Consider the following 15,454-nt stretch of genomic DNA (forward strand, 5'->3'; position numbering starts at 1 on the left):
ACCGCACTCCAGCCTGGGTGACAGAGCAAGACTCCATCTAAAAAAATAAAAAATAAAAATAAAAATAAGTGGCCGGGCGTGGTGGCTCACACCTGTAATCCCAGCACTTTGGGAGGCCGAGGCGGGCGGATCATGAGGTCAGGAGATCGAGACCATCCTGGCTAACACGGTGAAACCCCGTCTCTACTAACAATACAAAAAAATTAGCTGGGCGCGCTGGCAGGTGCCTGTAGTCCCAGCTACTCTGGAGGCTGAGGCAGGAGAATGGCCTGAACCTGGGAGGCGGAGCTTGCAGTGAGCCGAGATGGCACCACTGCACTCCAGCCTGGGTGACAGAGGGAGACTCCGTCTCAAAAAAGTAAATAAATAAATAAATAATAATAAAAATAAATAAAAAAAAGAAATCAGGAGCGCCAGAAATAATAACTAATGATTACATAGATGATTGCTTTTCCTTATTAAATAAGTTTAAAAGATAATTGACTATTTAAACAAACATAACAATTATGTATTGTGGAATCTCTAACATGTGGAAAGGTAAAATATATGACAGCAGTAGCACAAAGGCTGGCAGAGGGAAATGGGATATACTATTTTATATTCTTTTGTTATATATATGAAGTGGTGTCATATCACCTGAAAGTTAACCAGAATAAGTTAGTGATGCATAGTAAAAATCCTAAGAGAATCACCCAAGTACAAAACAAGGAGTTAAAGCTCATAATTCAACTAAGGCAATAAAATGAAATAGTAAAATGTATTTAGTTAATCCAAGAGAAAGCAGAATAAGAAGAAAAAGAAAACAAAGAGACAAATAGAAAATAAATAGGAAGAGAGTACATTTAAACCTAAGCATATCCATGCTCACAGTAAATGTTAATAGACTAAAAATTCCAACCAGAAGTTTGAAATTGTCATATTGGACCAAAAGGCAAGACTACGCTGCCTATAAAAATACAATTTTTTAAAAATTTTTCCATAGGTTATTGGGGTACAGGTAGTGTTTGGTTACATGAGTAAGGTCTTTAGTGGTGCTTTGTCAGATTTTGGTTCACACATCACCCAAACGGTATACACTGCACCCTATTTGTAGTCTTTTATCCCTCGCCCCCTCCCATTCTTCCCCCCAAATCCCCAGAGTCCACTGTATCATTCTTATGCCTTTGTGTCCTCATAGCTTAGCTCCCACATATCAGTGAGAACATACGATGTTTGGTTTTCCATTCCTGAGTTACTTCACTTAGAATCATAGTCTCCAATCTCATCCTGGTCACTACAAGTGCCGTTAATTTATTCTTTTTTATGGCTGAGTAGTATTCCATCATATATATATATATATGTATATACACACACACACACACCAAGTTTCTTTATCCACTCATTGATGGGCATTTGGGTTGGTTCCATGATTTTGCAATTGTGAACAGTGCTGCTATAAACATGCGAAAAACACAGTTTAAATATAAAGACACAGATTAAAAATATATTCCACACTAACATGAATCAAAGAAAGTTGTAGTGGGTAGGCCGGGCGCAGTGGCTCACGTCTGTAATCCCAACACTTTGGGAGGCTGAGGCGGGCAGATCACTTGGTCAGGAAATCAAGACCATCCTGGCTAACACGGTGAAACCCCGTCTCTACTAAAAATACGGAAACAAAATTAGCTGGGCGTGGTGGCGGGCTCCTGTAGTCCTAGCTCCTCGGGAGGCTGAGGTGGGAGAATGGCGTGAACCCATGAGGCCGAGCTTGCAGTGAGCCGAGATCGCGCCACTGCACTCCAGCCTGGGCTACAGAGCGAGACTCCGTCTCAAAAAAAGAGAAAGTTGCAGTGGTTATATCAATCTCAAGCAAGGTAGATTTCAGAGCAAAGAATATTACCAAGAATAAAGAAGGTCAGTTCTTAATGATAAAGAGGTAAATTCATCAGCAAGATATAACAATCCTCAATATGGATCTAATAATAGAGCTTCAAAAGTACATGAAGCAACAACTGATAGAAGCACAGGGGAAGATAAACAAATCCATAAATATAGTCCAAGATTTCAGGACCCCGCCCTCAATAATTGACAGCACAATTAGACAGAAAATCAGTAGGGTATAAAAGACCTGAATACAACTATGAACCAAATTGGCCCAATTGATATTAATTCAAAAGAGACCATATGTCTAAATGTAAAACCTAAAGCTATACAACTTCTCAAAGAAAAGATAGGAGAAAAACTGTAAACTTAGGTTAGGCAAAGATTTCTTAAATATGACACCAAAAGCATGCGCCATAACAGAACAAATTGGCTAATTAGACTTCATTAAACTTTGAAATCTGCTCTTTACACTGTTTAGAGAATAAAAAGTCAAGCCATAGACTGAGAGAAAATGTTTGCAAAGCATATGTCTGATAAAGTATTTGCATCCAGAAAAAAACCCAAACATAATAATAAGAAAACCAGCAACCCATAAAAAGTCAGCTAAAGATTTGAACAAACATTTCATCAATAGCCATTAGACAAATGCAAATTAAAACCACAATGATATACCACTACACACCTATTAAAATGACTAAAATTAGAAAAGACTGAACATATGGATGAGGATGTGAAAGAACTAGAAATCTCTTGCACTTGTGGTAGGAATACAAAATGATATAGCTGCTTCAGAAAACAGTTTGCAGTTTCTTAAAAAGGTGTACATACGGCCAGGTGCAGTGGCTCACGCCTGTAATCCCAGCACTTTGGGAGGCCGAGGCGGACGGATCACGAGGTCAGGAGATCGAGACTATCCTGGCTAACATGGTGAAACCCTGTCTCTACTAAAAAATACAAAAAATTAGCTGGGCGTGGTGGTGGGCGCCTGTAGTCCCAGCTACTCGGGAGGCTGAGGCAGGAGAATGGTGTGAATCCAGGAGGCGGAGCTTGCAGTGAGCTGCAATAGCTCCACTGCACTCCAGCCTGGGCAACAGAGCAAGACTCTTTCTCAAAAAAAAAAAAAAAAAGAGATGTACGTATACCTACCATTCGATCCAATCATTCCATTCCTAGGTGTTCACCCAAGAGAAAAGAAAGCAGAGATCCATGCAAAGACCTGTACACAAATGTTCATAACCACTTTATTTGCAAAAGCCCAAAAAGGACACAACCCACGTGTCTATCAACAGGTGACTGCATAAGAAAACTGCAGCATATTTATATAGTGGAATACCACTTAGCAACAAAAAGAGAGGAAGCATGAATACACAGCAGCAACCTGGGTGAATCTCAAAATAATGTAAAAAGCCAGCTAACTGATAGTGACAGAAAGCAGACTGGTGGTTGCCTGCAGGTGCGGAGGAAGGACAGGAAAAAGGGATCACTAAGGGACAAGAGGAGAATTTGGGGGATGATGGCTATGTTTACTGCCTTGTGGTGTAACACATCAAATTTTACCACTGAAATATGTCTATTTTACTGTATATCAATTATACCTGAAGAAGTGGTTTTACAAAAGAGAGAAACTATGAAGCTCATTACTGACATTGTAATTGCAAAGAAATCTGGCCTAGCTATGAAAGCAGCTTTCCTGCAGAGCATAAGTGACGATTCCAGTTCTCTGCTAGAGAGCGTGGCCAGGTAGATGGGTCGGCATCAGCACTTTTCCCGTTAGACTACACAACACGCCCCGGCCGTAATTTCACCAGCAGAGCTGGACTTTGCTTGCAACCTGTTAAGCTCAAGCCCAGCGTGAATGTTTTGCTAGACAGAGCCATCTTTCTCTGGATGTTGCAGGTCAGTGCTGGGTGACCGCAGAGCTTCTCTAGTAAACCCACATCATCCCAAGAGTGGCCTCCTGTCCAGAGAGGCGCTCATCTGCCTGCTCTGCAGACGGACAATCGCTCTGTTTTGTTTCAATGCTCAACCTGACCAGCCTCCAGCTACCACTCTATCTATCTTTCTAATGATGCCAAGCGCCATGTTGGACCATTTCCAGATACTCTAAGCTCCTCAAGGAAGCATTACAATCTGTGTGCCATCCATCTTGTGCTCCCAGCACCAAACGCAGTTCCTGACTGGGAGTTGCCAGTGAATACATGTTTATTTTATGAACGAATGAATGAACAGATGAATGTTTAATGTAAAGAAGAGAAGGTTCAAGTTAATCCTGATACCTAAAAGTGCCCACATTATGACCAGATAGTGATCTAAATCTTAATTCACAAGGAAGTTATTTAGAAATAGCAGCTTATTGTGTTATATAATACGGGTCGCTAAAATTACTTGAGCGCTTACTATGCTAGGCACTATTCCAAGCATGTAACATGCATTGTCTCATGGAATCTTCAAAGGTACCAGCAGTAGTCTGCTAGGAACGCCATAGCAAAGCACCACAACAGTGCATTTTCTCACAATTTTAAAGGCTGGAAGTCTCTGATCAAGGAGTTGGTTTCTCCTGAAGCCTTTCTCCTTGTGGGTGGCCTCTTCTCCTTGTGTCCTCACATGGTCTTCCTTCTGTATGTGTCTGAGTCCTAATCTCCTCTTCTTATAAGGACACTAAGCATATTGAATGAGGGCGCACCCTAATGGCCAGAGGTAATTTTAACTCAATTGCCTCCGTCATTAAAGGCCCTATTTCCAAATATAGACACAGTCTGAGGCAGTGGGGATGAAGACTTCAACATATGAATTTTGAGGGGACACATTCAGCCCATAATAGTACCAATAAAGTTGGTTGTAACTATTGTTCTCATTTTACAGGGGAGGAAACTGAGGCAAAGAGCAGCCACATTGTCCAAGGTCATGCCCTTAATACATGTCAGAACCTGGACACCAAGAATGGTAGTCTGCCTGTTCCAGAACCCCATTCTTAATTATCATTCTATACTGACTTGCAATTGATCCACATATTCTCAGTGGAGGTCAGATTCTCAGGCTAGCCCCAAAAGCCTAATTCATCATAACACAGTTGGGATGCTACTAAGGGTATTCCAAAACCTGGGTTCTTGAAGACTTAGGGATAAAGAGAAGAAGTTGAACTTAAAAACTAGCAGTGGGGGCTCCATGAGCAATAGCTCTGGGGCGCTGGCGGAGTGAGAGGCAGCCAGGACCCTTGGTACTGGTCACTCCTGTAGCGTGATAAGGGGACAGGGGTCAGTGGCCATTTCTACACAAGGGCCACCTATTAGTCAAGTGGCATAATTCTGAGACTGTTTCTATTTACAAAAACAAAAAGATGATAAATAGAGTAGAAGGCATGATTAATACGCCACAGGGATCTTTAAAAATTATGTAAATTATTTTAAGGCTTTTAATTTACTTTACCTTTTTAACGTGCTGTAATATACTACATAGACACATGCAATATAATTTTAAATCCCCGGAGGCCTTCTTTTTGGATAGTAAGTAATTTCATAGCACAGCAATATTTCTTAGACTGAATATCTCAGGCAGAAGACAGTACTGATTCCTTTCTTCTTCCACTTCAAAAGCACACAGGAACCCATCTATTTCTCTAAATATTTTTTTTTCTGGCCCATCTGTATCTTAAGCAATGTCCAGGTTTGTCAACCCCATCATTTTTGTCTGTGTTATGAAGGAATGCATGTTTAAAAATGCATTTCGAAAAGAAATAAAAGCGGTCATGTCAATGGATACCTCCCTGTCCATGGGATTTCATTCTAATATTTAGGCACTATTCTAGGTGTTGGAAATGTAGCTGCATAAAAAAGCCCTTCCTGTGGTGGAGATCAAATTTTCGTCCTTTTTGGCAGGTGAAGGCTCAGGCGCTTGTGAGGACAGGCCTCTGACCTAATTCATCTGCATGCTGTACTCTTGCCCACTCGGGCAATGTTGTCCCAGTTGAGGAAATGCCTGTACACAAAGAAGCCTGAGGGAAGAGTCTAGAATGTGTGAAATCGTGGGGTGCTGCAGAGCTCTCTGGTTATAGTTGTCTCAGCACCTGGCCCTCTAAGCCCAATGGTCCTGGGATGGCAGCTTTCAGCCTTTGTGGATGTGCAGCCCAAAACCCGGAAGCAGAAAGAATGCAGGCTTATTTCTCCTCCACCAAAGAGAGAGGAATAACATTTCATATGTGTCACCCAAATGAAGCTGAACTTTCAAGTTCTCCGAACAGCATCACATTCAAAAGAAACACCATTAAGATATCAAATGAAGCGATTAAAAGCAATTTTAAAATATTAATGAAATTGCAAAAAGGACCAAGAAGGAATTTCATTCATAAAACTGAGCTAAGTTGTTAAAATTCTTCTTACCATGTTTCTTCTCAAAGCTCCACTCATTATAGCTCAGCAGCTGCCCCAGTTGGTTCTCAGGTTCTAACAGAGATGGGGACAGAGAGTTGCACTTGAATGTCTTTTTTTTTTTTTTGAGACGGAGTCTCGCTCTGTCTCCCAGGCTCGAGTGCAGTGTCTCGATCTCGGCTCACTGTAAGCTCCGCCTCCCGGGTTCACGCCATTCTCCTGCCTCAGCCTCCCGCGTACCTGGGACTACAGGCGCCCGCCACCACGCCCGGCTAATTTTTTTGTATTGTTAGTAGAGACGGGGTTTCACCGCGTTAGCCAGGACGGTCTCGATCTCCTGACCTCGTGATCTGCCCACCTCGGCCTCCCAAAGTGCTGGGATTTCAGGCGTGAGCCACCGCGCCCGGCCAGAGTTGCACTTTAACCTCTTACGAGTGCTGAGGTTTGAACGGACATGTTCTTCCAACATTCTTAGGTTGGAACTTAAACCCGAAGGTGATGGTGTTAAGAGGTGGGACCTTCAGGAGGTGATGAGGTGGTGAGGGCTCTGCCCTCATGAAGGGATTAGTGCCCTTATGAAATGGCTCCAGGGAACTAGCTAGTCCCTTTCTGCCCTTCTAATATGTGAGGACACAGCAACAAGGGACCATCCTGGTAACAGACAGAACCCTCACCAGAGACTGAATCCGCTGGTACCTTGATCTTGGATTTCCCGGCCTCCAGGATGGTAAGAAATAAATTTCCATTCTTTATAAATAAGCCAGTCTCAGGTTATTTTGTTATAGCAGCACAAATGGACAAAGACACCAAATTTAGGGGGTGCCCTCTGATGCAGGCTGGCTTGATACAAAACAAGAGCCTTATGACTTCTATGCCCTCTTCCTGCTCTGGAGAATCTCTGTCTGGTGTCCAACCTGAGCCCTGCAGAGGTGCTGGCCCTGCCCTGTGCTCCAGGCCATCCTTGCCATGGACCTGTAATGCACTGCTGTTCTCTCCCAGCAGAGTTCTTGTCAAGGGGATGATCGCCTGGTACATGGCCAGAAATGCTTTGGTTCATATTTCCCATGTGTCCCCTGCCCCCATCCCATACACACCCCCAGGAGGTACACTCAATAGGTAAACCCAAAGGTGAGCCTCAACTCCCTTTGGCTCACATATCCATCTTTTCAGGGGGCTCTCACTTCTCCACTTTGGGAAATATAGGGGCAGGCAGGTGAACCTCCCACTCCCTTCTTTCCTTCCTCTATTCCTCCTTCTTCCATTAGGTCCATCTCTTCCTTCCTCCCTTCATTCCTTAGAGAATAATAAGTTTTGCTTAATTGGAAGTTGACTTTTCCTTTCAATTGCCTGTTTCTAATGTCTAATATAATCCCAGTAGGCCATGATGCATGCTGAGTTTTTCCCTGGGATATTGGCATTCCAATGTTAGAGTTGGGCTTCTGTTGCACTATTTATAATGACGTCCGAGTGCATCTCATGGCTTCCTCGTGGATTTATTTGTCTTTTTGGTGCTCAACATCCTTTGTCTCTGTAGTTTTGAAGTTATTTTGCTCTCACTCTTGGATGACAATTTAGCTGTATTTGGAATTCAGGGTTGACAGTGTTTTCCATCAGCATATGGATGATGACACTCCATTCTCCTCTGGTCCCTGTTGTTCCAGATGAAAGTTGTGCTCTCAATCTAACTGTTATCCCTTTGTGGATAATCTGGGTTTTTTTCGAGCACCTTTTTCTTTTTTCTTGGTGACCTACAGTTACTTTGAACATGTGTTACCTTGTGTAGAACTTGATGTACGCTTTCAGTCTCAGGACTTGCATCCTTTATTCTGAAAATTCTCAGCCATTCTGTCTTTAAATGCCTGACCACCATTTCTTCTCCCCTCTACTGCTGAAAATACTCACAGATGGATGTATGATAGAATCTGTCTGTCTTCCATGTCTCTCAATATTTTCCATTTTTGTTTCTTCTCTTGACCTCTGAGTGTTATATTCTGGATGAATTCTTCACTATTTCATTCACTTTACTACATCTTCTATTTGATTGTGTCTTGTATAGATTTGACAGCATTGGTGGAGTTACTCTTTTTTATTCCAATAACTATATTTGTTACTTCCAGGCTCTTAACTGGTGCTTTTTCATAGCTACACATTACTAATTAATGTCTGCCAATTTTGTAATTTTTTAAAAAAAGTTTTTCCTTTATTTACCCTGTTGAAAAATATTACCATACTTATTGTAAATCCTTTCAGATTATTCCATTATTTTCATTTCTTCAGGAATGAATTCTCACTTGTTGAATTTTTTTGGCTATCTTTTACGACACAAACCTTTCTATGTGTTTTGAAATTTTGAATGTGAGTTGTCTCCCACCCCCTCTTCTTATGTACAACTTTTCTGTCTGATCTTTTGAGGTTGTCACCTCCCAGCACTGCAGAGTCCCTAGTTATAATCAAGCTTTATGCTGACAGCTTAAACCCTTACATGCAAACCCAGTCCCTGTGCCAGTACATAGTTAGGCCTGGTTTCAGGCTACCAAGAAATCTCTGTTCTTTTCTTCCACCCAAGCAAGAAGCTGACTTTCTACCCCAGCTTTGGTTAGTAGTTGTAGCTAATTTTAGTCTATGTTCTTTTGCAGGGAGCCCAGAGCATCCCCATCTGGATGTATATGGGGAACTTTCCATCCCCTTTCTCTCTGAATAGAACTCCTGTCCACCACTCCCTCTCTTTGACCCCAGTTTTCAGCAGGCCTAGTCCCTGCTTCCTGTTTTGTGTTCTCATTTTATCTCTTGTCCATGTGGATGATTCTGTTGAAAACTGAGGATTTTATTGTCTATAAATTTTTGAACAAATGTATATATTAAAAATATTCTTGACTGGGCACAGTGGCTCATTCCTGTAATTCCAACACTTCAGGAGGCTGAGGCAGGAGGATCATTTGAGACCGGGAGTTCGAGACCAGCATGGGTCAAAAAGTGAGACCTCTGTTAACATTAAATTCACTGTGTGTGGTCACGCACAACTGTAGTCCTAGTTATTTGGGAGGTTAAGGCAGGAAAATTGCTTGTGCTCAGAAGTTCAAGGTTACATTGAGCTATAATTGCACCACTGCACTCCAGCCTGGGAAATAAAGCAAGACTCTATATCTAAAAAAGTTTTTAAATTTTTAATTCTCATAGCCTTGTGTTTGAAGTGGGATGTGGGTATTTCTGCAGGACCTTGCCTCACATTGTTGACCACCTTCCCCACCGCTCCACACCCTTCCATCTGTTCTCCAAAAAGACTCTTACAATGCATGGATTATAATTTGACTCAGTGCCATCCTCACAAAGTGTATATCTTTTCATTTACAGTCATGTCTACTCCTCCTAACCTTACTTGTGGAATGGAGGGCTTTGCCCAAAGCTAAGGCAAATCTGGCCCATGGGGATATGACATGGAGCAGCGTGGGTGTCAGGGCTTTGGCTTGCCCTGATGCCACATGACATCTACACCCAGCCTTGGATGCCACTGTCTTGCAGGCTTCCTAGGGTACCCTCCAGTGCTGAGCCAGTGGGAGCAGGAGGATGTTGCTGAAGGTCTATCTGCTCCTCCCATTCTCACCCCATCCCCTGCAGCTTTCCTGCCACAGATTCATTATTTTGGAGGATTCAGACTTTCTTCTCCCTGTGTTCTTTCTCTTCCAAGCCACCAATCCCTATTTAGATCTTCCTAGCACCCCTAAATCTACAATCCATATCTTGGTAAGCAAAGATGGCTTTTGAGTAGAAGGTAATCCTCCCGTCACCCTGCTCTGGACACACAGGGAACTAGCCAGGCTGGGAAGTTTCCTTGAAAACCTTAGTTTCTTAGCAAGAAGAAGTGATATTATGCATATGAAGAACAAATATTCTATGATTCATTGTATTAGGAAAAAAATGTCCACTTGATGCGGATTATAGATATTTGAAATGAACAAGCTAAGAAAAGAAGAAACTACAATTTGGGTTTGTTTTGTTTGGGGCTTCTCAACACTTACGCCCAAGGACTGCATAGCACAGTAATCACCATATATCTCATTGACTATGCCAAATTAACTTTGTTATAAAGTTTCATTTCATTACAAAAGAAAACAAAGCAGTATATAACAGAGAGAGCTCTAAGCCAATACATTTCTACAATATTGAAGTACATGTCTATACTCCATGTACATATATTTGTTGTAATCTGTTCTAAATGCATTTTGGGTCTCTGCTATTGCTTTTGTATCTTCTCAAAACTATTAAAGATGACAAGAACAGGAGTTTTTTAATGGCTACTCAATAGTTAATCTGATAAACTAATTAAGCAATGGCTGTGATAGTTAATAATGTCTCAGAGCTTACCACACCCAGAGAATATGCTGCATTTTAACAAATTCCTTGAACATTTTATCCAAAGATAGAGAAGAGGAAGAAATTTAATTACTTATATAGTATTAGGTTAATTTGGAGATATTTTGAATAGATTTTTTGGTACTTTATAATAAATCATACATTTAGAAGGTAGATGTATTTCCCTCTCTAGATGAAACTGGTTCTTGTCCTAAGGAAAACAATTTATTATATAATAGCACCCACAGAAACTTGTGATAGACAGGTGTGCTCTTAATTTTTTTAAATCTTTTGCGATTTGATGGATGAAAAATGAAAATAGGACCTTAATCCTTTTGTCTTGCATATCTTTGAGCATTAATAGAATTGAATTTAAGATATCTTTGGTTATCTACTTTGTTTTGTAAATTGTCCTCTTTCCTTTTAGTGTTTTTACCTTCTCTTGGATTTATATAAGCTCTCTTTATGGTAAAAGCTATTATAATATTATAATCAATAAAATGTCCAAAGAAATAAATGAAAGGGGCTTATTTTTCTTACTTTATAATAACTCAAGTTTCTAATTTTGTAAATTTGCAAGAATAGGGACTAGCTACAGTGGAATGCAATACCTCTCTCTGTTCATCCAGCATTCTGGCCTCTGTTGTTGAATTAGCTGTCTCCCCTAAAGGACTGCACATGGCATTTTTCTTTCTCTTTTTTGACATTTAAAATATTTCTAATTTGGCCAAGTTAAAAAGGCTAGAAAAGAAAACATATCAGTTTCCTATAATGAATCACAAGAGATTTTTCTACTGTGTGACTGGCATTATATTTGCCAAAAGTGAGAGGTTAAGACATATGAAGGTTTGATTCATCAGCAGAAACAGTTGCTAAATGTCACATTTAAACTGTCATTACTGTTAGTCAAATATGCAAGACAGTGGGACCCCACACTGGACAATCCTTTCTAAGGGAATCTTAGAATCCCTTTACATTCATTTTCCAGACTGTTTCCTCTTTATTGCCTACCTCTCTCTTATTTGTTAGGAAGTATTTCAGACATCAAAACATGTAGAGAATAATCTAGCAAATACCAATTTGCCCCTACCCAGCTTAATCACAAAAGCAGTGGAAACTTCCTGAATTATTCTCCATCCCAAACATCCTGTTCCCCCCCCCCATCTAGAGGTAAACACAATCCTAGATTTAGTTGCATTGATCCCATGCTTGATGTTATCCTTGTGTTGCATGTAAATGTACCTCTTAGCAATATATAGGACTGACTGGTTTGCATGTTTTTTTTTTTTAAGTTTCTGTAAATGATATAGCATGTGACTTTTGCTTGACATTGTATTTTACAGATTTATCCATGTGGCTACTTGAAGCTGTAGTTCACTTATTTTTCATTGCTATATAATATTCCATTGTATGACTTCCCACTTAACTTGTTCTTCTTGAAATTCATCTCCCTTGGCCTGGCTCAGTGGCTCACGCCTGTAATCCCAGCACTTTGGGAGGCCGAGACAGGTGGTTCACGAGGTCAGGAGTTTGAGACCAGCCTGGTCAACATAGTGAAACCCCGTCTCTACTAAAAATACAAAAAATTAGCTGGGTGCGGGGGCGGGCGCCTATAATCCCAGCTACTCGGTAGGCTGAGGCAGGAGAATCGCTTGAAGCCAGGAGGTGCAGGTTGCTGTGAGCCGAGATCGCGCCACTGCACTCCAGCCCCGGCGACAGTGTGAGACTCCATCTCAAAAAAAAAATAAAAAGAAATCTCCCACATTTCTTTTCCTGGATGACGTACTTTCTTAAATGTTAATCTCTCAAAATATTATTCAGTGTGTGTTGCTTTTGTTGCTGTGTGTGTGTGTGTATATATATATATATATATATATATATTTTTTTTTTTTTTTTTTTTTTTTTTTTTTTTTTGAGATGGAGTCGCACCCTGTCGCCCAGGCTGGAGTGCAGTGGCACAATCTCGGCTCACTGCAACCTCCACCTCCTGGGTTCAAGCAATTCTCCTGCCTCAGCCTCCCGAGTAGCTGGGACTACAGGTGCATGCCACCATGCCTGGCTAATTTTTTGTATTTTTAGTAGAGATGGGGTTTCACCATGTTAGCCAGGAAGGTCTCCATCTCCTGTCCTCGTGATCCACCCCCCTCAGCCTCCCAAAGTGCTGGGATTATAGGCGTGAGGCCACCGCGCCCAGCCATATTATCTTTTTTTAATCTGCTATTTCTTCTCATTCTGTGCCACTCTATACATAGATATAGAATGAAATGGAAATGGTTTGCTCTGGAAGGTCTGACTCATTATTGTTTGCTGATTTGCATTCAGTTCAGGGTTTACCTGCTAGCAGGGCTGCTAAGGTCCCAGGCTGGTTAATGCTTTATTCCCACACCATCATAATACCTGCACTGACCTTCTGACTTACTACTACCTGCCACAAACTTATGAAATGAGTGAAGTGTGTCACCAGAAACACAGGCTTTCCTGATTTTTGAACTCTCACACAAAATCTAATGGAGCTTTAGGATGGGCTCAGTGGCTCACATCTGTAATCCCAGCACTTTGGGAGGCTGAGGTGAGAGGATCACTTGAGCCCAGGAGTTCGAGACCAGCCTGGGCAATGCAGTGAGACCCCATCTGTACCAAGAAAAAAAAAAAGCTGAGCATGGTGGCACAGGCCTATAGTCTCAGCTAATTTGGAAGCTGAGGCAGGAGGATTGCTTAAGCTCAGGAGTTTGAAGCTGCAGTGAGCTGTAATCAGGCTACTGCATTCCAGGCTGGGTGACAGAGTGAGACCCCATCTTAGAAATAAAGAAAGAAATTGGGCCGGGCATGGTGGCTCACGCCTGTAATCCCAGCGCTTTGGGAGGCTGAGGTGGGTGGATCACTTAAGGTCAGGAGTTCGAGACCAGCCTGACCAACATGGTGAAATCCCGTCTCTACTAAAAATACAAAAATTAGCCAGGTGAGGTGGCGTGTGCCTGTAATCCCAGCTACTCGGGAGGCTGAGGCAGGAGAATCACTTGAACCCTGGAGGTGGAGGTTGCAGTGAGCTGAGATCGTGCCACTGCACTCCAGTCGGAGCAACACACAGTGGGACTCTGTCTCAAAAAATAAATAAATAAAAAATAAAGAAATAAAAGAGTTTTGCTTTTTAACACGAACAAAAGGCTTTCGTGTTTAAGTTTCTATCATAGAACTTTAGACATCTGCAAATGGGAGTGGGGACCAGAAGGTGTGTCTTTGGCCTGGCAACATTGTACAGTGAAAAGTGCAGGAATGTGGGAATCAGACTAAGCCAGCCCCTGACCCAGCTCTGCTGCATGCTGGTGATAAGACAGTGGCCAGTTACCCCTTCTCCACCTAAATCTCCTCGTTTATGAAGTAAACTGCCTTCCAGGATCTTACAGATCGTGCATATTACATATGCAGAGAGCAGACCCCTAGGACAGAGTAGATACTAAATGCGTGTTAGTTTCCTTGTTTCCTTTCTTCCCCTGATTGCTCTTCGTGGGAGTCTGGTTCCCACACAGATAAGACTGATTGCTTCCCCACCCCAGCATCTGGGAGGGGCTGAGAGGAGTGCTTGATAGCATCCTAACAACTATCTTCAGAAAGGACATCCTGGGTTTTAAACAATTGACTACAAAAATCAGAATAAAAAGTAAATTAAGATTAATGCACTGCATAGATTTAGTTTCATAGGCTAGAAATCTCCCACATTATACCTTCTGCCTGGCAGGACATAGAAAATAATCATTCCAATGCCAAGCTCCTTGAGTCACCTATAACTGCTCAAATTTGAGACTTCTGTGGGCATCCCCTCAGCCACCTCTCCCTAAATGTCTGCAGAGTCCCTAGAGAGCCACAGTGTCCAGTCTTCCAGCTCCTAATCCTACCGTAGCTGCTGGCAAACATCCAGCCCGAGTCTATTTCCAGCCATCTCCCGTGGCTCCAGCTTCTCTCCTGTTCACAGCAGCACACCGGCTTGGTCCTTCTCTAGATGCCAAAGCTGCATTTCTCCAGGAGGATTTTATAGATAGGAGTTCATCAGATTTTTTTTTCATTTGTAAGTGAAGGAAACTTGATTCAAACCAGCTCCGGGATAAACCAGTAGGAGGTTTACTGGGTCTGGTAGCTCTGAGGGCCAAGGCTGGGCTGGATCAGATGTGGTTGGATCCAGACTCCCAACCTCCGCCTCCTCCACTGCCCAGTGTGTGTGCACATGCGTCTGTCTGTCTTAGCTCTGCCTCCCTTTGCCCATTGTCCTTGTCTCCCACCATGTACAGGCTAACTCCATGGAGAGAGAAAGTGACCCTTGTCAGCTCAAACCCCTCTCCTTTCTGTTCATAACTTTTTTTTTTCTTTTTTGATGGAGTCTCACTCTGTCGCCCAGGCTGGAGTGCAGTGGTGTGATCTTGACTCACTGCAACCTCCGCCTTCTGGGTTCAAGCAATTCTCCTGCCTCAGCCTCCCGAGTAGCTGGGATTACAGACGCCCGCCCCCACGCCCATCTAATTTTTGTATTTTTAGTAGAGATGGGGTTTTACCATGTTGGCCAGGCTGGTCTTGAACTCCTGACCTCAGGTGATCCACCCACCTCGACCTCCCAAAGTGCTGGGATTACAGGCGTGAGCCACCGCACCCAGCCCTCCGTTCATAATCTTATAGAAACTGACACCTGCCCTCCCTTAGAAGCCAAAGGGGGTTTGCATTTTACATAAATGCCAATACATAGATAGTTCTATCAGTATTATAGGAAGTGAGAGCAAGTCGGGCAGTCTGGAACAAAAAGAAGAGTTCTGGGTGGATGAAGAATATCAGATATCCTAGTGAGAGGTGACAACGTGCTGGCAGCCCTGGGTCACTCTCAGCACCTCCTC

The 15,454-nt window shown here is 42.3% G+C and overlaps 1 long non-coding RNA gene across 1 annotated transcript in view, besides 1 other annotated feature; it reads right to left on the reverse strand.

Annotated features, from left to right (window-relative positions):
• The window catches only part of LOC105371975 (uncharacterized), a 32,330-nt gene extending 17,645 nt beyond the window's left edge, over positions 1 to 14,685 (reverse strand). Inside the window, exons 1-2 of the long non-coding RNA XR_935123.1 lie at positions 14,471 to 14,685; positions 6,240 to 6,302 (exon numbers count right to left, since the gene is read on the reverse strand). This is a non-coding gene — a long non-coding RNA (uncharacterized LOC105371975). The remainder of the gene's footprint in view (positions 1 to 6,239; positions 6,303 to 14,470) is intronic.
• Positions 2,863 to 3,034: a silencer, noted in NCBI's record as "fragment chr18:7347954-7348125 (GRCh37/hg19 assembly coordinates)". NCBI's record gives its function as "represses an EF-1alpha promoter that drives an FKBP-Casp9 reporter gene in an ReSE screen in phorbol 12-myristate 13-acetate-treated (for megakaryocytic differentiation) K562 erythroleukemia cells {active_cell/tissue: K562(+PMA)}" and the evidence as "EXISTENCE:reporter gene assay evidence [ECO:0000049][PMID:32094911]".
• Positions 14,686 to 15,454: the final 769 nt, after the last annotated feature.

Source organism: Homo sapiens, chromosome 18 (genome assembly GCF_000001405.40).
Source record: "Homo sapiens chromosome 18, GRCh38.p14 Primary Assembly".
NCBI lineage: Eukaryota > Metazoa > Chordata > Mammalia > Primates > Hominidae > Homo > Homo sapiens.